The sequence below is a fragment of the Homo sapiens genome, chromosome 2 (genome assembly GCF_000001405.40).
Source record: "Homo sapiens chromosome 2, GRCh38.p14 Primary Assembly".
In the NCBI taxonomy this organism is placed as follows: Eukaryota; Metazoa; Chordata; class Mammalia; order Primates; family Hominidae; genus Homo; species Homo sapiens.
Window position 1 is genome coordinate 54,093,522 of NC_000002.12, and position 24,760 is coordinate 54,118,281.

Consider the following 24,760-nt stretch of genomic DNA (forward strand, 5'->3'; position numbering starts at 1 on the left):
TAATGTTTGATTCAGAGGATGTGGCCTAGAATTCAGGTGCTGTTTCTGTGTCTGGGTACAGGTCACTTCCTCTTTTAGAGACTTAGTTTTCTCATCTGTCAAGTGGGAATAACAATGATATTAAATAAAAACCACTTGGCCGGGCGTGGTGGCTCACGCCTGTAATTCCAGCACTTCGGGAGGCCGAGGCGGGTGGATCACGAGGTCAGGAGATCAAGACCATCCTGGCTAACACGGTGAAAACCCGTCTCTACTAAAAATACAAAAAATTAGCCGGGCGTGGTCGTGGGCGCCTGTAGTCCCAGCTACTCCGGAGGCTGAGGCAGGAGAATGACATGAACCTGGGAGGCAGAGCTTGCAGTGAGCTGAGATCATGCCAGTGCACTCCAGCCTGGGTGACAGAACGAGACTCTGTCTCAAAAAACAAACAAACAAACAAACAAACAAACAAACCCACTCAGTATCATTGTGAAGTGTAAATAAAATAATGAAAAGTAAAATGCTTAGTAAAGCTATGAAGAGCTGTCCTACTTAGGAGAATGAAGTACATGTTAGAGATACTGGCAATGTACAAAAACTACAAAAAAGTGGTTAATTCTGGCTGTGGATGAAAAAGGCCTCATGAAGGCAGGATCACTCATGGTTGGCTTGCAAAAGAAAGGAAGATTTTGGTAGGCAGAGAAGAAGACATGGTGGGGAGAAAAAAAATTTTTTTTTTTTTTTTGAGACAGAGTCTTACTCTGTTGCCCAGGCTGGAGTGCAGTGGTGCCATCTCGGCTCACTGCAAACTTCGCCTCCCAGGTTCAAGCAATTCTCCTGCCTCAGCCTACCAAATAGCTTGGATTAGAGGCATGTGCCACCATGCCTAGCTAATTTTTTTGTATTTTTAGTAGAGACGGGGTTTCACATGTTTGCCAGGCTGGTCTCGAACTCCTGACCTCAGGTGATCTACCCACCTCGGCCTCCCAAAGTGCTGGGATTACAGGTGTGAGCCACCATGCCCGGCCCAGTTGTGTGTGTGTGTGTGTGTGTTTGAGACATTGTCTTGCTCTATCGCCCAGGCTGGAAGGCAGTGGCACCATCTCGGCTCACTGCAGCCTCTTCCTCCTGTGCTCAACCAATCCTCCCACCTCAGCCTCCCAAGTAGCCAGGACTACAGGCATGTGCCACCACGCCCAGCTAATTTTTGTATTTTTTGTGGAGATGGTGTTTCACCACGTTGGCCTGACTGGTCTCAAACTTCTGGCCTCAAGTGATCCGCCCACCTCAGTCTCCCAAAATGCTGGGATTACAGGTGTGAGCCACCATGGCCAGGCAAAATATTTTATTGTATTTTATTATTATTTTTTAATCTGTTTTTTTTTAAACTTCCTTTTTTTTTTTAATTGATCATTCTTGGGTGTTTCTCACAGAGGGGGATTTGGCAGGGTCATAGGACAATAGTGGAGGGAAGGTCAGCAGATAAACAAGTGAACAAAGGTCTCTGGTTTTCCTAGGCAGAGGACCCTGCGGCCTTCCGCGGTGTTTGTGTCCCTGGGTACTTGAGATTAGGGAGTGGTGATGACTCTTAACGAGCATGCTGCCTTCAAGCATCTGTTTAACAAAGCACATCTTGCACCGCCCTTAATCCATTTAACCCTGAGTGGACACAGCACATGTTTCAGAGAGCACAGGGTTGGGGGTAAGGTCACAGATCAACAGGATCCCAAGGCAAAATAATTTTTCTTAGTACAGAACAAAACGAAGTCTCCCATGTCTACTTCTTTCTACACAGACACGGCAACCATCCGATTTCTCAATCTTTTCCCCACCTTTCCCCCACTTCTATTCCACCAAACCGCCATTGTCATCCTGGCCCGTTCTCAAGGAGCTGTTGGACACACCTCCCAGACGGGGTGGTGGCCGGGCAGAGGGGCTCCTCACTTCCCAGTAGGGGCGGCCGGGCAGAGGCGCCCCTCACCTCCCGGACGGGGCGGCTGGCTGGGCGGGGGGCTGACCCCCCCACCTCCCTCCCGGACGGGGCAGCTGGCTGGGCGGGGGGCTGACCCCACCACCTCCCTCCCGGACGGGGCGGCTGGCCGAGTGGGGGGCTGACCCCCCCACCTCCCTCCCAGATGGGGCGGCTGGCCGCGCGGGGGGCTGACCCCCCCACCTCCCTCCTGGACGGGGCGGCTGGCCGGGCAGAGGGGCTCCTCACTTCCCAGTAGGGGCGGCCGGGCAGAGGCGCCCCTCACCTCCCGGACGGGGCGGCTGGCCGGGCAGGGGGTTGACCCTCCCACCTCCCTCCCGGACGGGGCGGCTGGCCGGGCAGAGGGGCTCCTCACTTCCCAGTAGGGGCGGCCGGGCAGAGGTGCCCCTCACCTCCGGACGGGGCGGCTGGCCGGGCGGGGGGCTGGCCCCCACCTCCTCCCGGATGGGGCGGCTGGCCGGGCGGGGCTGACCCCCCCACCTCCTCCGGATGGGGCGGCTGGCCGGGCGGGGGCTGACCCCCCCACCTCCCTCCCGGACGGGGCGGCTGGCCGGGCGGGGGGCTGACCCCCACCTCCCTCCCGGACGGGGTGGCTGCGGGGCGGAGACGCTCCTCACTTCCCAGACGGGGTGGCTGCTGGGCGGAGGGGCTCCTCACTTCTCGGACGGGGCGGCTGCCGGGTGGAGGGGCTCCTCACTTCTCAGACGGGGCGGCCGGGCAGAGACGCTCCTCACCTCCCAGACGGGGCGGCGGAGCAGAGGCGCTCCCCACATCTCAGACGATGGGTGGCCGGGCAGAGACGCTCCTCACTTCCTAGATGGGATGGCGGCCGGGCAGAGACGCTCCTCACTTTCCAGACTGGGCAGCCAGGCAGAGGGGCTCCTCACGTCCCAGACGATGGATGGCCAGGCAGAGATGCTCCTCACTTCCCAGACGGGGTGGCGGCCTGGCAGAGGCTGTACTCTCGGCACTTTGGGAGGCCAAGGCAGGCGGCTGGGAGGTGGAGGTTGTAGCGAGCCAAGATCACGCCACTGCACTCCAGCCTGGGCACCACTGAGCACTGAGTGAACCAGACTCCATCTGCAATCCCGGCACCTCGGGAGGCCGAGGCTGGCGGATCCCTCGCGGTTAGGAGCTGGAGACCAGCCCGGCCAACACAGCGAAACCCCGTCTCCACCAAAAAAATACGAAAACCAGTCAGGTGTGGCGGCGCGCGCCTGCAATCACAGGCACTCGGCAGGCTGAGGCAGGAGAATCAGGCAGGGAGGTTGCAGTGAGCTGAGATGGCAGCAGTACAGTCCAGCCTTGGCTCGGCATCAGAGGGAGACCGTGGAAAGAGAGGGAGAGGGAGACCGTGGGGAGAGGGAGAGGGGGAGGGGGAGCTAATCTGTTTTTTAAAAATAGAGACGGGGTCTTGCTATGTTGGCCAGGTTGGTCTTGAACTCTTGACCTCAAGCAATCCTCTTGCCTCAGCCTCTCAAAGTGCTAGCCTTACAGGCATGAGCCCCCACATCCAGCCTGAAATATTTTATTTTAAAGGAATCTTTTTCAATTATTTTTAGCAAAGTAATCCATGAACATAATTAAAAAGCAATAATTCAAAAGGGTTTATAATATCTTTCACCTCCTCCGAGTCTCTGTTCCAAGGTTACCTTTTTCAATGAGCTCTTCCCTGCACTTGCTATTTAAAACTACAGCTCTGGCCCCACTCCTGGTCCTTCTTAACCCACTTATTTCCTCACAGCACTTACCCACTTCTACATATTATAACTTACTATGTCTATGGTTTGTTGTCTCTTTCCCCTGATGGGAATGTGAGCTCCATGAGGACAGGGACTTTGATCTGTTCTCTTCATTTCCCTAAAGTGTCTACACAGTGTCTCATGCATTGCAGGACTCAGTAAGTATTCATTGAATAAATGAAAACTATGAAAAGCTTGCCAGCACCACTGTTCCCCAAATCCTATCCCATTCCTCAGAGGCACCTGGTTACAAAAAATGACAATAACAACACAACAACAGTGTATTATTTTGGATTTTTTAAATCTAATTTTTGTTCTCACACTGTTATAATATTTTGGAAATTTTCAAGCATACATGAAAGGAGGGAAAGGTATGGTGAACCCTAGGAATCTATTACACAGCTTCCACAATTTGCAACATTTGGCCAGCCTTGTTTCTCTGTCCCTCTTTATTCTCGGGGGAGGAAGGGGTGGTTTTGGAGCATTTTAAAGCAAATCTGAGACGTCATGTTATTTTAGCTAGAAATGCTTCCCTGTATCTATAACTGCAAAAGATATTTTTAACTCTAACCACCATGCTATTATTATACCTAATGAATTAACAATTTCTTTTATTTTCTTCTTTCTTTCTTTCTCTTTCTCTCTCTCTCTCTCCCCTCCCTCCCTCCTTCCTTCCTTTCTTTCTTCTTTCTTCCTCCCCCTCCTTCCCTTGTTTCTTTCTCTCCTTCCTTCCTTTTTTTTTTTTTTTGAGGTGGAGTCTCCCTCTGTCACCCAGGCTGGAGTGCAGTGGTGTGATCTTAGCTCACTGCAATCTCCACTTCCCAGGTTCAAGCAATTCTCCTGCCTCAGCCTCCCCAGTAGCTGGTATTATAGGCACGTGCTATCATGACTGGCTAATTTTTTAAAAATTATTTTTAGTAGAGTCAGGGTTTTGCCATGTTGGCCAGGCTGGTCTTGAGCTCCTGACCTTAGGAGATCCACCTGCCTCAGCCTCCCAAAGTGCTGAGATTATAGGCATGAGCCACTGCACCTGGCCACAATTTCTTAACATCATCTTATATCCAGTTCATTATTAAATTTTTCTGATTGTCTCAAAGTTCTAACAAAGGATCCCCCAATGAAGGGCCCACGTTGAATTTGATTGTTTCATTGTCTCCTGAATGTCCTTTTTTCTATAACTCATTTCCTCTCCCTGCCATTGATTCATTAGAGAAACGAGGGCAGTTGTCCCATGGAATGTCCTATATTCTGGATTTGACTGATTGCTTTCTCATAGTGTCCTTTAACTTGTTCTCCCGAGGCAACTTCTTTGAACAGTTTCTGCTTTTAGTTCTTTTTGTGATTAGCTTGATATCTCCAAATATGTTGTTACTTGATTTAGATACCAAGATGGATGCAAATTTAGCTTGCTTGTCCTGCCTCCCTTCTCCCAACATAATTTGGTCACTAACCTCTGCTACTGTGCTGGTCCTCTCTGATTTCAGACAATGTCCCTTTTTTTTTTTTTTTTTCTAAAGACAGGGTCTCACTCTGTCACCAGGCTGGAGTGCAGTGATGTGATCATAGCTCACTGCAGCCTCAATCTCCCAGGCTCAAGTGATTCTTCTGCCTCAGCCTTCTGAGTAGCTGGAACTACAGGCATGCACCAATACACTAGGTTAATTTTTAAAATTTTTGTAGAGATGAGGTCTTGCTATGTTGCCCAGGCTTGGTCTCAAACTCCTGAGCTCAACAGATCTTCCTGTCTCAGCCTCCCAAAGCACTGGGATTACAGGTATGAGCCACTGTGCCCAGCTGATTGCAGACAATATCTTAGAACCTCTATTTGGTGTTCCATCAACCAAGAGTTGAGGATGTTTGTGCTTGGATGGTTCCCTTCACCTGCTGTTCCTTTTTTCTTTTTAACTGTTTCTTGTTTATTTTTTAATTGGCAAATAAAAATTGTATACATTTATGGTGTACAAATATGTTTTGAAATATGTATATGTTGCAGAATGGCCAAATCAAGCTAATTAACGTATGCATTACCTCAAATACTTACTTTTGTGTGGTGAGAACACTTCGAATCTACTCTCTTAGCAATTTTCCAAGTATACAACATGTTGTTATTAACTATAGTCACCATGCTATACCGTAGATCTTTTGAACTCATTTCTTCTGTCTAGCTAAAATTTCTTGTCCTTTGACCAGCGTCTCCCCAGTCTCCACTCCCACCCCCAGACCCTGGTCCCCACCATTCTACTCTCTGCTTCTATGAGATCAGTGTTTTTAGATTCCACATATGGGTGAGATCATGCGATATTTGTCTTTCTGTGCCTGGCTTATTTTGTGCAACACGATGTCCTCAGATTCATCCATGTTGTCACGAATCACAGGATTTCCTTCTTTGTTAACACTGTTCCATTATGTTTATAAAGCAATTTTTTTTTTATCCATTCATCCACTGATGGACACTCAGGTCCATATCTTTTATTTATTTTTTTTAGCTCCATATCTTGACTACTGTGAAAATGTTGCAGTGAACTTGGGAATGCAGATATCTCTTCAACATACTGATTTTATATCCTTAGGATACGTATCCAGGAATTGCTGGATAATGTGGCAGTTCTATTTTTAATTGCTTGAGAAACCTACATACAGTTTTCCATAATGGTTATACTAATGTACACTCCCACCAACAATGCGCAATGTTCCCTTTTCTCCACACCCTCGCCAACACTATCGTTTATCTTTTTCATCACAGCCATTCTAACAGGTGTGAGGCGGTATCTCCTTGTGGTTTTAATTTGCATTTCCCTGTTCTTCTCTTTTACTTCTGTTAAATGCAAATTTAAGTCTTCCAGGTGTATCACATACTCTTTTCTGTAATCACAATTTAGTCTTCTGTAGTTTGTGAATTTATTCCAAAATTGTAAAAAATAATAAATGAACATTTACATGTTTTGACTTTCCAGATTTAGTTCACTGTATAGCCAAAAACTACTCTTTTCTTTCCACTTTGTAGGGTCAGTGTTAGAACTCCTATGCCAGTCAAAGAATGTTTCTAGTTTTATGTTAAAATATATACTTCCTTTTTTTTTTTTTTTTTGAGACAAAGTCTTGCTCTGTTGCCTAGGCTGAAGTGGAGTGGCATGATCACGGCTCACTGAAGCCTCAACCTCTGCGGCCCAAGTGATCCTCTAATCTCAGCCTTGCAAGTAGCTGGGACCACAGCTGTGCCCCACCACACCTGGCTAATTAAAAAAAGATTTTTTTTTTTAGAGATATGGTCTCCCTCTGTTGCCCAGGCTGGCCTTGAACTCCTGGGCTGGAGAGATCATCCTGCCTCACTTTCCCAAAGTTCTGGGATTATAGGGACGAGTCACCACACCCACCCGAGATCCTCCTTTTTTAATACTCTACCAATTGTACAAAATCATGCCACATTTTAACTCGTTTCCTATTTGGTCCATGTCAGGAATAGTATTTAAGATATTTAAAACTGTAGTTTGAATTGACCATTCATGCCTCAGCCGATTCACAGGGAACTATTTTCTATTTTTTGAATAATGGTAGAGGAAAGTACCTGGTATTTTCAAAAAACTAAAACTACTCTTCTATGAATGGGAAATGAGGCTGGAACAGTCAACTCAAGCACTTAATAAAATGTCTTGAATATCATGCCAAGAAATGTGGACTTTGTAGGTGCTAGGAGACTCTTGAAGGTTTTTAAGCAATTCAAGGTACTTGGGCTAAGCCTTCTTGGAAATAATCCACCAAAGAGGGTGGCCTGCCAGGGCAAGGGAATGCCAGCAGTTAGCAGCTGAGGGTACCACTAGTTGCCCCCATAGTGCTCACCACAACAGGGAGCTGTGGTCGGAGGACCCCACGGAGCCTCAAAGAATCCATCAATAGCCCTGTGAGAGAGCTGCATTTGAACCCCTGCAGCTCAGTCCTGGCCTGTAGGGAAGAACCCTTGATCAACATTATCATCCTCCAAGACTGCATGTGAATCATCATTTATTTAATTTTATTTAAGTTGATGGATATTTGAGTACTTCCAATTCTTTTTTTTTACTGTAATAAACAACTTCATGACAGTTGTTTTGTTTATATCTTTGCATTCTTGCCTATTTTCTTCCCCTTGGGAGAGATTTATAACTTAAGAACTGCCAGGGGCCGGGCGCGGTGGCTCACGCCTGTAATCCCAGCACTTTGGGAGGCTGAGGTGAGCAGATCACGAGGTCAGGAGTTTGAGAGCAGCCTGACCAACATGGTGAAACCCCGTCTCTACTAAAAATACCAAAATTAGCTGGGTATGGTGGAGCGCGCCTGTAATCCAATTCCAGCTACTCAGGAGGCTGAGGCTGTAGAATCGCTTGAACCTGGGAGGCAGAGTTTGCAGTGAGCCAAGATTGCGCCATTGCAATCCAGCTTGGGTTACAGAGGGAGACTGTCTCAAAAAAAAAAAAAAAAAAACTGCCAGGTGAAGTGTGTGTAATCTATCTTTCCTTCCTTCTTTCTTTCTTTCCTCCCTTTCTCCTTTTTAAAATTAGTGTGTTTTATGTCTTAGAGCAGTTTTAGCTTAACGGAAAAATGAAGCAGAAAGTACAGAGGGCTCTCATATACATCCCCCTCCGACATATTTTCACTTCTTATTAACATTTTGGATTAGTGTGATACATTTGTAGTTACAATAGATTAATGGATATTGACACTTTATTAACTAAAGTCCACAGTTTACATTAGGGTTCACTCTTTGTATTACAGCTCTGTGGGTTTTGACTATGTGTAATGTCATGTATTCACCATTATAGTATTATACAGAATAGTTCCTCTGCCCAAAAAATCCCCTGTGCCTCACCTATTCATCCCTCCCTCAAATGTATATAATTTTTAAGGCTTTTGAGGACTATAGTCAAATTGCTTTACAAAATGTTTGTATCCAAACGCCAGCAGTGCGTGAGAGTCTGTTTCAGCATATCATCAATAACACTGGGTATTACTATTTTTAATGTTAGGAAAATTGATATCTCATTTATATTAGGACAAATACAAGTAAGATATAATTGTTTTGGAACTCTGTACAATGAGCTGATGACATTGTTACAATGAGAGACACTTGTTAGAGACCAGCTTAAGCAAATAATGAGATTTATTGCCTCATGCATCTGGGTGCTGGCCTCAGGGTTGATTGATTCAAGAACTCAAATGATGTCACAGAAAGTGCTATCCCTCATTCCTCTTCTATTGCAGACACTTTTTTCTAAGGAGGGAGGCATGGTTGCAAGGAGGTCTAGGCTTATATCATCTTAGCTAAGGAGGTCTAGAGGAACGAGACATCTTTGTTGTCTCTGATTTAATCCTACATTAATCAGAGCTCATTTAAGTGCCATGATAGAAACCCAATTTAAGCTGGCTTAAGCCAAAAAAAAAAAAAAAAAAAAAAAAAAAAAAAAAAAAGAATATATTGGCTCATGCAACTGAGAAGTCTAGTTGAGAGTTCTTCTTTCAGGAACAGGGGCTCAAACAATATCATCAGGACTTGCTTTTTATCTTTTGCCCTGCTCTCCTCTTTGTTGGCTTCATTCTGAGGCAGGCTTTCTCTCTTGCCTGTTGGCAAAATGATTCCTGATAGCTCCAGGGTTAAATGATTCAGCAGTCTCATGGGTCTCAAAGGGAATACCTCATTTCTAATGGGTCCCACAAAGGTTCTGAGGAAGGAAGACTTTGGTTGGCCTGGTTTCCAAATTGTGTCCATCCCTACCTCTCATTGTAGCAGAGGTATAAAAAAATCTGATGAGTTAGGATTGGGTTATATGCCACCCCTGCACAAGGGTAAGGGAAGGCATTAGCTCCCCTAAAATCACAAGGACTAATAGGGGAGAAAGAGGGTTTGTAAAAGACAAAAAAAGAGTGGATACTGTGCCAGCAAAAGAAAAAATTTATATTACAAGTATCATCAGCTCTCCCACAACCACATGTTGGAGTGTGTGAGAAAGAAGTTTTCTATCAAAAGTTGGGGAGAAGGAATAATGCATAGATAAAAGCAACACATGTCCACCACATCATTGTTTTATTTCACATTCATTCATAAACATTATTTCAGATATCTGTTGATCATTTGCATTTGGGTTTTTATGAGTTATCTGTCCATTTTGCTGTTAGGACAGTGCTTTTAAGGTGTTCCTAACATCTTAACCTTGGTCTTAATTCCTTTCAGTTTTGCATGCTGGAAATGTTTTTTTTCCAGTTTGTCATTTGCTTCCTAACTTTGTTATTTACATTTTTATTCAAGATTACTGTTTTAAATTACACATAGATCCATGCAATGGGTATTATGCTTTTACTCATCCTCATTCTAAACACTAAATAGTTGTATGGCTTAGTTATTACTCTGATTTAACTTCTGTGGCCCAGTTTTCTCATCTGTAAAATGGGCCATTGATTTTCTTCCTATTCTTCTAACATGTTTATGACTATGAAATATGATTTATTTATTTGAAAATATAGAGCTCAAGAAAGTGAATAGGAAATATTAGAGAATAGTGTTCTGAGCATTAAATATCAGAGGATCTTTAATGGTATCCCACAGGGAGTACTATGAGTGATTCATATGCAGCTTGATGTTGCTCTGTAGCCAAATAGAGCAGAATAAGCCCCTCCCCTTCCCCACCCTTTGCCCTAGCCGGCCAGGTCATGCAGCAGGCAGAGGAAATGCCTGCAGCTACACTGAATACAGATGCCAGTCAGATCCTGCAGGTTAGAGAGAGTGCTGCAAGGCTAAGCTAAACAGACCAAAGCCAGCCCCAGGTTGAACAAGAAAGCAGGCAGCCAGTATTTTCCTGAGTGTAACTGTGGGTACTGCCTCTATTGGCGGTAGAGACTTGGTACTTAAAATGAACTTCGAGCTGTTCCAAATGTACAGATTAAGAACATCTGGCATGTAGAATTAGGATTCTGATGGGAGATATATACTGATGCTGCCTGGTGTGGGACAAGAGTACATTGATGCATGGATGATGATCAGTAGTCTTGGAGAACAGAATCAAGATAGGATGAGAAAAGAAAGTATTCTTTGATTATAATGACTAAGTGTTCATAAATTCCTTCATGAGGAAGAAGTGGAAATTATCAGAGCCTCCCACTATGTACCTTTGGTATTATAGTGTATTATATATTTATTTTAAAATTGGTGTGTAGTAAAATGGATAACCATAAAAGGGCAAGCTTAGTCATGTAGCTCAAGTCCTTTTGTCACCTTTGTAAAGAACTTTTCCAGGTTTTGTTAAGTAGACATTTTTGATGTAGTTAGATTTTACCAAACTGCTAGATACAGAACTCTGGAGCCTGAGTGATACACCAAATAAACAGTCACCTTACAGGCTACTGTTTTAGTCTTATGTTAGTCTGAGTATTCTACACTTGACAAAAATCACTTTGACAATGAGAAAGTATTACATAAAAGTCATTTATCACAATCCCTCAGATCAGCAATCCTCAACCCTGGCTAAACAGTAGAACTACCTGAGAAGCTTTTTAACAACTGCTGATGGCTGGCCCAGCACCATATTAATTACATTAAAATTTCTGGAGATGGGAAGAACACTCCCCAAGTTCCCCAAGTGAACATAATGTGCAACTAGACAAAAAAGGCTGATAGGGGATTGCACAAAAAGTGGGGTCTAGTCAGGTCTTAGAGGATAACTGTGTCCACAGTGTAACACTGTGTTACAAGCTGAGGCATGGGGTATAATTCAGGTATTCCCTTCGAAGCCTACACAATTGTTAGCAAACTATCTAGTGGTCTCTGGAAGATATTTTTGGGGAAATATTCAGATGTTTTTTGAATACTATTTTGTTGAAAACAATTCAGGAAATTTCCCCCCAGGAAAACTTCTGATTTGCAGCATGCAACATAGAGCCTGAGCACTCTTCCCCGGCTTCCCACTGTACTTGGAACAGGAACCAGACTCCACCGTGGCTTCCACAGCCTGGCATGACCTTTCTCCTTGCCTTGACTGAAAGCTGTATTTAATGCCACCATCTCATATTTTATAATGCAGCAGCCACACTGGGCTTCTTTCAGTTTCTCCTACTTGGGAAACTCGAGCTTTCTACATGCTATTCCCTCTGCGTGGATTAAGTTCTCCCACCTTTCTTCTTGGTTTCTTCTTATCCATTCTTCAGCGATCACTTCCCCAGAGACCTTCCCAGACAACCTCTCTAAGCCCTAATCTACCCCCATCTCTAAATTTTTTAAATTTATTTATTTATTTATTTTTGAGGCAGGGTCTCGTTTTATTGCCCAGGCTAGAGTACAGTGGCATGATCATGGCTTACCTCCCTAGCTCAAGTGATTCTCCCACCTCAGCCTCCCAAGTAGCTGGGACTACAGGTGCAGCCTCCCGAGTAGCTGGAACTACAGCCAAACCACCATGTCTGGCTAATTTTTGTATTTTTTGTGGAGAAGGGTTTTGCCATGTTGCCCGGGCTGGTCTCTAACTCCTGGGCTCAAGCGATCCTCCTGCCTCAGGCCCCCAAATTGCTGAGATTACAGGCATGAGCCATTGCGCCTGGACCCTATTAATAAATAAAACATCACCTTCTCCCCAGCACCTACACATGGCACATACTGGGTATTCAGTAAACATCTGTTGAATGAGTGAATGAAAGACTGTTGAAGGCAGTGTGGCAGAGTGGAAAGAACACTGAATTTTTCCGCAAAAGGCCGGATTCTAGATGGGGTTCAATCCTTTAAATGTTCTAAGACTATTTCTTTGTCTTTAAAGTATAGTACCTGTCCTACTTAGTTCTGTACCTGTAAATATAAAATGGAAGTTGGTATATAAAAGTGTCATAATAATCATAAAATGCCACTGCAAATGTAAGTTAATGTACTATTCATGGACTCAAAAGGAAATCACATATAGTCAATCAGCAAAATGTTTTTCAGTGCTGAATTATTGACACTGTACTGCATTCATCACTATTATCAACCTTTTAAAGGTAAGATTTAATTTTTTTAATTTTTAAAATTATTATTATTATTTTATTTGTAGAGATGGGTTGCCCAGGCTGGCCTCAAGTGATCCTCCCGCCTTGGTCTCCCAAAGCACAGAGATTACAGGTGTGAACCACCGTTCCCAGACAAATATCAGATTTTATGAGTAAGGATGAAAAGTAAATAATTCTAGGTGAAATATTTTTATACTGCAAAAAGCTTCCTATGTCCACGTAAAAACCATCTTATTTACTTAACAAGAGATCTCTGAGACACACAGTCTTTATGAAAAGCTAATTTTAAAGGATATAGTAGATGCATATGCTGTCAACATAATGTCTCATATAATAAGAGTTCAACTAACATTTACCAGACAAATTTTTGAGATGGAGTCTTGCTCTTGTTGCCCAGGCTGGAGGCTACAATGGCATGATCTCGGCTCACTGCAACCTCTGCCTCCTGGGTTCAAGCGATTCTCCTGCATCTGCCTCCTGAGTAGCTGGGATTATAGGTGCCTGCCACCAAGCCCGGCTAATTTTTGTATGTTTTAGTAGAGACGGGGTTTCACTGTGTTGGCCAGGCTGGTCTTGAAGTCCTGACCTCGTGATCCGCCCCCCCTCGGCCTCCCAAAGTGTTGGGATTACAAGCGTGAGCCACCATGCCCGGCCAAATTTTGCTTTTCTTATAACATCCATATCTAATTGTAATTCATGGTCAAGATACTTTAATACTTAAGTCATCTGTTGAGTGAAGGGTACTAACAGTAATTAAACAGCCTGTCATTTAGGGGTTTAGCATGCACCTAAAAGTATTTTAGAAGTGTGTCACCGAAATGAAAGACATTTAGGTGGCACTAGCTTCCTGAAGACTGAAAGAGTAACCCTACCCACGGGAACTGCCTTGCCTTGGGTAGATGGTAGGTGGCAGCAACAGACCAGAAATTATGGTTAACTAGAGCGCTAGACATGTTCTTTTTAATGTTATTCTATCATTTTTTTCCAAAATAAAATAATATAGCTGCAAACCAAGTAGATAGTAAAAATAAATAAGCATGATGTGACTAATTTGCATAATACAGGCTACCTAAGCCTTTATTTATTCTATAATCTTTCAACAGCAATTTATTTTTCAACAGCTCTAAGCTTGGTTTTGTTACTATTCTTAGCTTGTTTTTTTTTGTTACAATCTTTATTTCTTCTCTTTGTAAGTGTTGAAAATTTTAATGCTCCTCTATTGACAGAAAGGGATGGCATATTTGAACTTTCATTCTGCCTAACCTTTGTTCTATTCCTGTTGTGAAGATTTTGCCCCAGACATTGCACTGGTCAAGGTTTAGTTACTGAAAAAATAATCCATTCCAGACAGTTTAAACAGAAATTGTTTAACACTGGGCATTAAATGGCTTATGAAGTTGTTGGCAGGGCTAATGAAAGAGGCTCTTGGTCACTCACTCTCAATCTGAGCTTCGTATCACAAGCATCTGGGTTGCTTTTTTAGAATATCAATTCGGGAATCCATTGCTGACATAATGAATCAAAACCTTTGGGCATAAACTCCCCTGGAAATTCAAATGTTGAGATCAGATAGAGATCCACTTTGAGGCTGAAGTTTTAGGATGGACTTTTACTGCAGAACTGGGCCATCAAGGGATCTACTGATCCTGCAATAGGAAACCATTTGCTGAATTGGGAAGTTGTTGCTATAGCTGCTGGATTCAAAACAATGCATCCCCTGCCATCATCAGAAGCTGCCATGCTCTGGAAACTGCCACATCCAAAAAGCTGCCACTCCGGGACCCGCCAAGCTTGCTATGATATTAATTAGTAAAACAGATGTCCTGTGCCCTGCCTCTTGGTGCCCCACAAGCCAGTGAACAGTCAGTTAACAATGGCACAGAATAACTAAACTCCTCCGCGACTGTGCTTATCACAGAACCAGCAGCAGATGGCCCCTGCCTCACTCATACCCTCCCTCCACATCTACAATTTTAATTCTGCTGGTGGAAACTCTATCACATGAGGAATCTTAATTGCAAGAATGTCCAGGGTTTGTAGCTTTAAACTTCCCAGCCCTACAGAAACAGAAAGTCCAGCTAGAAAGAGATTGCAATGGATGTGTGTACCAATCCACTGTTTCACCAAGGACATCATGAAGTAGATGAGTTATTTTAAAGACACGAAGGCCCTTGTTGTCACACTAGCCCAGACCTGCGGGTAAATCTGAGTCAAGCCCTTTCGGGAGTTTAAGTGTGTGTGAACTAAGAAGAAATCAGGACGAATCTCTTCCCCGGATAGGCTCCTTGCTTCCATAGGAAAAGCAAACCTGATACCAGCTGAAGTCCACGCCTGGGGGATATTAGGAAGGGAGGGGTCTGTGTTGCCTACTTTTTGTCTGAGCTGGTGGCTGGCCCTTTTTCCCCCGAGTTGGTGGCTGGCCCTTTTTCGCCTTCCCTGTCTTGTTGTGATAGCTCATAGTCTGGGCACACTCTGTTCAAAATCTGACTTTGCCATTTTTTGCCTCCTTGGTGTGTCCAAGCAGTGGCATCTGTGATTAGTTGCCTCCTGATGTAATATTAACTTTACCTTTTTCTCACTCAATACCTTCAGATGCCTACTTCCTGTTTTCTAAAGGACTCAATGCTAATTATAATGATATTTTCCTTTACTTTTCCTTACTTCTAGATATATTCTTTTGCATTTTATATTATTTCTTCCTCTGGAAATGAACTATTTCTGTAATACATTCTTTTCATTAATAAAGGTTTTAGTATATTTGATTATCTACTTGTTCTTCTTTATGCCAGTTCAGATATGCTTTAGTGCTTTGAAAGTTAACTGTTTGGTCCTATCTATGCCTGAGCATGACTTCAGGGTTGCCTCGAAATTTAAATTATATGCCCACAATTCACAATTGCAAAAATATGGAACCAGCCCAAACGCCCATCAATCAATGAGTAGATAAAGAAAATGTGGTATACATATATATGCACATATACCATGGAATACTACTCAGCCATAAAAAGAAATGAAATAATGGCATTCACAGCAACCTGGATGGAACTGGAAACTATCGTTCTAAGTGAAGTAACCCAGGAATAGAAAACTAAATATCGTATGTTCTCACTGATAAGTGGAAGCTAAGCTATGAGGATGCAAAGGCATAAAAATGACACAGTGGACTTTGGATACTCGGGGGAAAGGGTGGGAGGGGGTGAGGGATAAAAAAACTGCATATTGGGTACAGCGTACACTGCTTGAGGGATGGGTGCACCAAAATCTCAGAAATCACCACTAAAGAACTTATTCATGTAACCAAACATCACATGTTCCCCCAAACCTATTGAGATAAAACATAAATTTAAAAATAAAAAAAATTATATGCCTGTATACTGAAATGGTGAATCTGCTCATGCACCACATTGAGAAATTATTTTGAAATGTTATTATGAAAACATATAATAGGATACTAAAATAAACTTTCAGAAAGTAAAATTTTAATTTTAGAATAGTTGTTGATTAAAAAAATTATTGTGAATATAGTAGAGTTCCCATATGCCCCACATTCAGTTACCCTATTATTAATATCTTAATATTAATAAATAGTATTTTCTACCATTGTTAATGATAAATGGTATATTTGTTGCAATTAATGAACCAATATCAATATCTCATTATTAACTAAAGTTTGTACTTTATTCAGATGTCCTCAGTTTTCACCTCAAGTTCTTTTTCTGTCCCACGATCCCACCAAGGATACTAACATTGCATCTAGTCATCAGGTCTCCTTAGGCTCCTGGTAGATGCTTCTCAGGCTTTCTCTGTTTCTGATGACCTTGACAGTTTTGAGGATTACTAGTCAGGCATTTCGTAGAATTAAATTATATTCTCTTCAATTTTTAATTTTATTTTTAAACTTCACGTAAGCATTTTAAACACACACAAAATTAGAGAATAGTATAATGAATCCCCATCTACCCAAGACCCAGCTTCAAAACTGTCACCATTTCCAAGTTTATTCTATCTAAACTGTCCTACCTGCCAACCCTGAGGATTTTAAATCAAGCGCCAAATATTATATCATAGTACCCTTATGTATTTCAGTACATGCCTCTAACAGATAAGGCCTTTAAAGAATATACCCACGATGCCGTTATCACAGTGACAAAGTTAATGATGATTCTGTAATGTTTAGTAGTCAGCCTACATTCAAAGTTCCCCAATGGTCTAAAAAATGTCTTGTTCAAGTTTACGTACTCAAATCAGGATCCAAACAAGGTATATGTATTGAATTCTGTTGATTTGAAAAACAGGACTTTTATCTCTGCTTTAGCTGAGACCTGGGACTGAAAACAAAACCATAGTTATAGCTACATTTTGAGATGAGGTGCTAAACTCCCTGTGTTGTGCAAAAGGGGCATTTTAAAAGAGTTTTAAGATTTTTAGTCCAACACCCACCTCAGGATCCAGAGTATTTCTTTGGGGAAATGCAGTAGGGAACTGTGGCTTTTTTCCCTCCCACCGTGGGAGAGAGAAGCAAGGTGTCGCCCCATCACCCCAAGCTCAGTGAGACAGTCTTTAAGAAAACCTCTCTGAGAACTCGGTGTTTACTCCTTGGAGCTAGAAAGACACGTTGACCGATACCTGAGGAAAGGAAAGAGGAAAGGCTGTGGCTGGAGATGTCTGAAAAATGACTGCCAAGCAGAGCAAAGAGAGGTGGTTGAGTTCAGAGCAATCTGTGACTTCTATCACTGGTAGGGCAGAGATATGAGCCTCCATAACTAGATATGATGGGAGGGAGGGATGTGGTCCTGTGGTCAGTTTAAAATGGATCCCACCCAGATGGCCTTCTTGCTGGGGGCTAGTCTCTTTCAGCAGAAAGAGGTTGGAGGTGTAGCATTTAATACAGAAGCTGGGATGGGGCACTTAATACAGAAGCTGGGATACGGCTGTAGAGAGAACTGGCATAGCCTAACAAGGGAGCAGCAGTCAAGAATTCCAAGTGGGGTGAAGCTCTGAGTCCCTACAAAAAGAATCCTGCAAAATAAGTAGTCAGCTTTGAATATTCACCATTCCCAGAGAGCCTAAATGGATTTCAAAAGTACTTGTTTGTTCCCATTTTCAGCTAGGTAGGGGGAAACTAAGGCAAGGGCGGGGGGGACCAACCATGCCCTCTCCTCACTTCAGCATACTCAGTACCAAGCTGGGAGAGGGAAGACACTTTAATGTTACATATCCTTCTGACTTTTTAATATTAAATTGGACTGTGACAAAGAAAAATTGGTTCAAACCTGGGACAGAATCTCCTTCTGGAAAGAAATCTGCTTTGCTGATAGAACGCTTAAGCAATTTTCTGATAACTTGTAATAAGATTAAAGCCTCTTCTGGGAAACCAGCTACTTGCTCAGCTGACCAACAGTCTGCTGTCTAATAATTTTGAATCCAGTTTAGTAATAATTAAGCATTTATTTTACCTATAAAGTATTCCTTCCACAGGGAATCATTGAATGGAAGTTAACAATTTGTATCATGTTGGGTCCTGCACTTTCAACATAATGATTACAAAAATATTTCAGGGATAGAAATATGCCGATGGATAAAGTAATTTTGCTTGTCCTTAAAATCAATCATATCTTAATATCAAATTTCTGAGAAATAACTCTAGCAATCACTTTCAAATGACCCCATGTGGTGATGAATTTGAGAGTTACAGGCGGTACCTCCTCACTTCAAATGTCATTTGGACACAGAGTACTATCTATCCTTATTTCACAGGTTCTGTGTATTATCTATCCTTATTAGATATACACATATAGAGATGTGTATTATCTATCATATGTATTATTGTCATATATAGATAATACACACATGTAAATGTGTATTATCTATGCTTATTTTACAGATTCTGGTGCCTGGTCATCTTTTACAGTCATATTATATAAGCAGGATTTTCCCTTTCTATGTATTACCTTAAACATGATCCTAGATCACAAACCAATTGTCTTAAAGGGTTCAAAGAAGGGAATTAACAGGTTTTAATTTCAACCAGTAGTAACACAAAGCCTAGTTATTCCAAAGCTGTTGCTCAGGTTACAAAACCAAAGCTTCATATAATTTAATCATGCATTGTACGTGAAGGACCTGCATACATTTGTTTGTATAAAAAGCCAAATAATCATATACAGTCTTGGTAGTAATATATTTAAATTGGCACAGCCCTTCGAAAAACAGTTTGGCAATATATATCAAGAACAATACATGCTTATACCCTTGATTTGATATTCCAACTTCAATTAAAAATATGTGGGAAGGAAGCTACATGCATAAATATTTTCTTTTTTATGGTAGTGAAAAATGAGAAGCAGCCTGAATATGTAACAACAGGGACTCACAGTAGGTAAATGTGTGGTTTATCCACCTAATGTGATTTATTAAAATATTCATTGGAAAGACTACAACATGGAAAAGAAGAATAAAAGTTGCATTCATACTATAATTACTTAAAACATATATTAGAAACATTTGCGTACATTTTCTAAAGACTTAGAATCACATATTATTGGCAATCCATGCCGAAATGGTACATAAAAATTTCCGTTTGCTAATGTTAGACTGCTGGCAGACACAGCAAATTTTTCAGCTAAGCAAATGTCAATTGTTGCTATAGCACTTCTAAAATTCAAATAAACCTACCTAATAATTGGCAGGGGTACTCTTGGGTAAATGTGGAGAAAAGTCAAAGATTAAGAAAAGGAAAATGTCAACCTTCCCAGTCAGTGACTACTTAGAAGCTATGCTATAGTTGTCCGTTGTTATCTGCAGGGGATTGGTTCCAGGAATCCCCTTGGATATAAAAATCCTGGAATGTTCAAGTTCCTAATAGAAACATACATACACATATTGTCCTGTATGTTTTAAGTCATCTCTAGATTATTTAAAATACCTAATGCGATGTAAATGCTATTATACTGTATTGTTCAGGGAATGATGACAAGAAACAAGAGTCTGCATGAGTTCAGTAGAGATGACTTTTTTTTTTTTTTTTGGAGACAGGGTCTCGCTCTGTCACCCAGGCTGGAGTGCAGTGGCCCCATCTCGGTTCACTGCAACCTCTGCCTCCTGGGCAAAAGTGATCCTACTCCCACCTCAGCCTCCCAAGTAGCTGGGACTACAGGCACAGGCCACCACAGCCAGGTAATTTTTGTATTTTTTATAGAGGCGGGGCTTCACTGTATTGTCCAGGCTGGTCATCTCTAACTCCTGGGCTCAAGCTGTTCGCCAGCCTTGGCCTCCCAACATGTTGGGATTACAGGTGTGAGCCACCGTGCAGGCCAAGATACTTAAAAAAAAAAATTCTGTTTGAGGTTGGTTGAATCTATGGATGCAGAACCTGCTAATATGGATGGCTGACTGTACTAGTGGGGAAGGCACACTAAATAACTAGGATAAAATCTGGTAACCACTCGCAGAGATGACTGAGCGGGATAGAGGAAGATTTTGGAGAAGGGGGAGGCATTCCAGATAGAGTAGACCCAAGAGAAGAGGTTCTTTGTTTTAAACCTCTGTACTGAGAGAGCAGAATAACCGAGAGTGTCTTGACTATAGTTTAAATGCAGGATTTGCATAAGCAGGTAGTGGAGGCTGAAGACCTTAGGTTCTATTTTGAACGTATTAAGAAGAATGATTTAAAATTTATGTTGATTCTAGAGTCTGCATGGAATGAACTGGGAGATGGAAGAGTTAAGTTACGAGGTCTCTGCAATAAACTAAGACCTTCACTACATAAATTAACTGCACTAGCATTTCCAGAATATATTTTACTTTAAAAATGATTTAACCATATTCTAACCAAGTTTTGGATGATTTTTGGTGTTCTCTAATAGAATTGGCACAGTATATTGAATCAGATTGCAGTGGATTATTTTAACTGTGTGGCCAGATGCAGAGAAATATGCCAAGGTATTGAGGCCAACAAATAGAGAAATGCAAATTCTCACAAGTAAACAGATTTGGAATTCTAGAAGGTGGCAGATTATCAATAGCTGTATCCAGATCCTTTGGAGTGGTGGATGGTTTTATATTAAAACTTGGTAATAGCTCACCAGGAAATAAAATTCAGCCTTAACCTTCTAGGCAATTGGGATGTTGCTGAGAATAATCAAGACAATCAAAAAAAAAAAAAAAAAAAAAGGTCGGGTGTGGTGGCTCACACCTGTAATCCCAGCACTTTGGGAGGCCGAGGCAGGTGGATCACCTGAGGTCAGGAGTTTGAGACTAGCCTGGACAACATGGTGAAACCCCGTCTCCACTAAAAATACAAAAATTAGCTGGGTGAGGTGGCGCATGCCTGTAATCCCAGCTACTTGGAAGGCTGAGGCAGGACAATTTCTTGAACCTGGGAGGTGGAGGCTGCTGTGAGCTGAGATTGCACTACTGCACTCCAGTCTGGGAGACAAGAGCGAAACTCCGTCTCAAAACAACAGCAACAAACCCACACCAAAAAAACTGTATGAACAGCAGACAAGATGACTACAGTGTTTTTCTTTTGTCTGTTTCCACTAGCATAAAAGACTTCATATTTTTAAAAAGTTTCTTATCCCAGAAAATATCACAATCCGTTTAGAATACGAGTTCAGGCTCAATTCCTTCCTGACTGTACAGAAGAGCTCAAGATGTTGCAGACCTTATCTTAAAAGCTGGCTTGGTAGTCACCTAAACATTTCATAAATAATTTACTAACTCTCAAAACACTAAACACGCAGGCCCTTGATTTCAAAAGCCAATCTTGCTGGGATGGAGTGGGGTGGGGGACCTGGGATGGGGGATGAAAGGGGTTGGAAATGGGGAGATATTGGTCAAAGGGTACAAAGTTTCAGTTAGTGTGAATAATAAGTTCTGAAGATCTGTTGTCTAACATGGTGACTGCGATAAATGTATTGTGTCCTTAAAAATTGATGAGAGTAGATCTTAAATGTTCTCTTCATTAAAAAATGGTGCAATGGATACGTTAATTTCATTGATGTAATCATTTCACAATGCATACATATGTCAAAACATCACCTTGTACACCACAAATATACCCAACTTTTATTTGTCAATTACACTTTAATAAAGCTGGGGGAAGCCACTCTTTTTTTGGGCACAGCATCCGGCTTTTATTTACTAACTTTGAGAACAGAGTACCTTGATCAATTAAATGGTAGGGAGCGCTGTGGAGACAGCATCCTCCCCAGTCCGGGAAGAGAGGCCTAGGATGCCTGGGGCCCAGCGGCCTCTTCCCTCCTGGCGTCCCCGGCTGCCCTCGCTCCCAGGCCCCGCAGTCTCATTTGCCGCTTCCGACGCGTGACCCCGGCGCGCTAGCGTCCGGGACCGGTGACAGGCGCGGGGTGCGCCAAGCAGTCCCATGTGTCCCCTCCCTCTCGCAGCCGCCGCAGTCGCTGCGCCCCGAGCCCCTCTCCGGCTCCTCAACAGAGGGCTCGCCGCCGCCATGTCTACCGCCCAGTCACTCAAATCCGTGGACTACGAGGTGTTCGGAAGAGTGCAGGGTAGGAGGCCCCTCTACGGTGGGAGATCAAAAAGGTTATGGGAGGAAGGGGAGAAAGCTGTGAGAAGCGCCTCCCACCTAAAGTATGCCTTTTCCCGTTGTGGCTGGGACTTCCGCTCCGCCATGACACAGCAGCGGCGGCGGGGAGGGAGGCGAAACGCGCATGCGCCCGAGGACTTGGACGGGCGGAAGTACGGGAATGGGGAGGGAAGTGGGGGAGCGGGAGAGGAGGGGTCAGGGGACTGCTGAGGACCAGAAGTGGGCGGCTGCTGGGTGCGGGAGTAAGCGGCACGGGGGAATGTTGAAGTTGGGTAGGAAAAGAAGAGGGTCTTTTAACTAGTGGTCTCGTTGCTTGCCACTGAAGCTACCTGGGCTTGACTTGAGTTTTAGGAAGGACACTTAGATGGTTTAAGGTTAATTTTTCAGAGGTCAAACCTTTTTTTAGACCTCTTTGTAGCTCTTAAAAGAATGAAATTGTTATCTAATTTTTGTTTCATCCTAAGTTTAAGTAGTTGCCAAGTTTGTAATGTCTGGCTTGTTGAAAATATTGATATTTATAAATGAAAATATTAAGTCACTCTGAGATTTATGCAATGGAATATAAATAGGGTAGTGATTTAACATCCACCATCTTCATTTAAAATAAAACTCTTCAACAATGGGAAATTTTACTCATTTCTTTTCCTCTTTGAATTTGATTTTCATTTCACTTTTCCCACCGAATTACCCCATTGTTTTGCTTGAGGGTTTTTTTTTTTTTTTTGCTCACCCTATCATACTTTTCTGCAATATGTATATGTACATATATGCACATGTATGAATAAGTGTAATGCTTTTTCTTAATTTCCTTTGACAATAAGGCTCTCTTAGAAACAAATGCTGGTTCTTTGGTGCCAAAAAGAAGAACTAGCGCTCAAAGAATTTTCTCAGCAAGGCAATTTTACCTCTATAGAAGGGTGCGACTCGCGGATGAAGCAATGGCAACGGCACACCTGAACAGGGGAGGGGAAGGGGTTCTTATTCCTGATGCAGGTAGCCTCTACTGCTGTGTCTTTCCCCTACTGGCTAGGGTTGGACCGCACAGTCTAAGCTAATTCCGACTGGCTATTTTAAAGAGCAGGCGTACGAGCTCAAGTGGCGGGGTGAATAATTTGGCAGGAAGGGTGGTTACAGAACAGGTGACTCAGGATGATTCAGGTCAGAGCAGGTGACCAGGGGTGACTCAGGATGGAGCAGGTGACCAGAGGAATAGAGGTGAACTACTGATTAGAACTGGTGGAAAAGGTTGTTTACTGAAACTAGAGGCGAGGAGAACGAGGAAGCTAGACTTTAGAGCGCAAAGAACCGAGCATACTGACATACTGATTCTTTGAAGAGAAATTTAGAACTCATTGTATTCAACAGCTCCAAGTATTAAATTTTTTGTCTGGATGGAGTTATTATTGAAATTATTATTAGAACACTAGATGAAAATATAAAAAGTATGATAAACATTATTAAAATTTAAAGGTAAATTTGTGTTAGAAGTTTATTTTTTTAATTTTATTTTTTTAAGAGATGGAGTCTTGCTCTGTCACCCAGACTGGAGCAAGTGCAATGGCACAATCATAGCTCACTGCAGCCTGGAACTCCTGGGCTCAAGTGATCTTCTGCCTCAGCCTTCTAAGCAGCTGGGACTACAGGCTCATGCCACCATGCATGACTAATTTTTAAAATTTTTTTGTAGAGAAAGGGTCTCTGTTGCCCAGGCAAGTCTCGAAATCCTGGCTTCAAGGGATCCTCCTGCACTTCGCCTCCCAAAGTGATGGGATTACAGGCGTGAGCCACTGCACTCAGCCAGAAATTTATTAATGAGAAGACTGGGGGTGTTTATGGAACCTCGGTTGGTGGAAGAGTTGAATTATCCTTGTATTTGGTACTCTAGAGGTTTTTACACTTTGGTGCAGTGTACCAGGGTAAGATTAAGAATGGGTAAAAGTGTGCCTTTTGTAAAGAGATCTTTTTTTAATTTAATTTTATTTTTATTTCCTATAGGTCTTTGGAGAACAGGTGGTGTTTGATTACATGAATAAGTTCATTACTGGTGATTTCTGAGATTTTGGTGCATCCATCACCCAAGCAGTTTACACTGTACCCAATGTGTAGCCTTTTGTCCCTCACCCCGTCCTACCCTTTCCCCCCTGACTCCCCAGAATCCATTGTATCATTCTTTTATGCCTTTGCATCCTTATAGCTTAGCTCCCACTTAGAAGTGAGAACATAGAATGTTTAGTTTTCCATTCATGAGTTACTTCACTTAGGATAACAGGAGACCTTTCTTTCAAAGGATGATTGTGCAAAGGGAGGTAGGAAAGGAGTCTCAGGTCAGTTTTAGGAAGGAATATATGTGGAAGTTGAAGATCTGGAAATTGATTCCCTGAACATTATGCATGGATCTGTACTCTTTAGAAAGTCTTTGAGTGAACCCAGCGGTATGTTATCCTGCTTTGAAAACTGCCACAATAAGTCACCAAAACACGTAATGTA

General features: G+C 42.6%; 1 protein-coding gene and 1 long non-coding RNA gene across 6 annotated transcripts in view, besides 3 other annotated features; both read left to right on the top strand.

Moving 5' to 3' along the window:
* ACYP2 (acylphosphatase 2) overlaps positions 1–24,760 on the top strand; it is a 334,188-nt gene that overhangs the window by 122,409 nt on the left and 187,019 nt on the right. For 3 of the 5 annotated variants that reach the window (NM_001320589.2, NM_138448.4, NM_001320590.2), the window contains exon 1: positions 22,094–22,235. The exons of the other annotated variants lie outside the window; for them this stretch is intronic. In NM_001320589.2, coding sequence (NP_001307518.1) covers positions 22,178–22,235 — 58 coding nt within the window. In that variant the 5' untranslated portion in view covers positions 22,094–22,177. Of the gene's footprint in view, positions 1–22,093; positions 22,236–24,760 lie in introns of those variants that run through there. 5 annotated transcript variants of the gene reach the window in all.
* Positions 1,271–1,966: an enhancer, noted in NCBI's record as "NANOG-H3K27ac-H3K4me1 hESC enhancer chr2:54321929-54322624 (GRCh37/hg19 assembly coordinates)". NCBI's record gives its function as "activates a minimal SCP1, AML or CMV promoter by ChIP-STARR-seq in naive H9 embryonic stem cells {active_cell/tissue: H9 hESC(naive)}" and the evidence as "EXISTENCE:reporter gene assay evidence [ECO:0000049][PMID:30033119]".
* On the top strand, positions 12,782–15,470 carry LOC105374615 (uncharacterized). Its single transcript, XR_940093.1, has 2 exons — positions 12,782–12,820; positions 14,192–15,470. It is a non-coding gene; the product is annotated as an uncharacterized LOC105374615 (long non-coding RNA).
* Positions 21,923–21,992: a silencer, noted in NCBI's record as "silent region_11485". NCBI's record gives its function as "represses an Ori minimal core promoter by ATAC-STARR-seq in GM12878 lymphoblastoid cells {active_cell/tissue: GM12878}" and the evidence as "EXISTENCE:reporter gene assay evidence [ECO:0000049][PMID:35858748]".
* Positions 22,483–22,542: a silencer, noted in NCBI's record as "silent region_11486". NCBI's record gives its function as "represses an Ori minimal core promoter by ATAC-STARR-seq in GM12878 lymphoblastoid cells {active_cell/tissue: GM12878}" and the evidence as "EXISTENCE:reporter gene assay evidence [ECO:0000049][PMID:35858748]".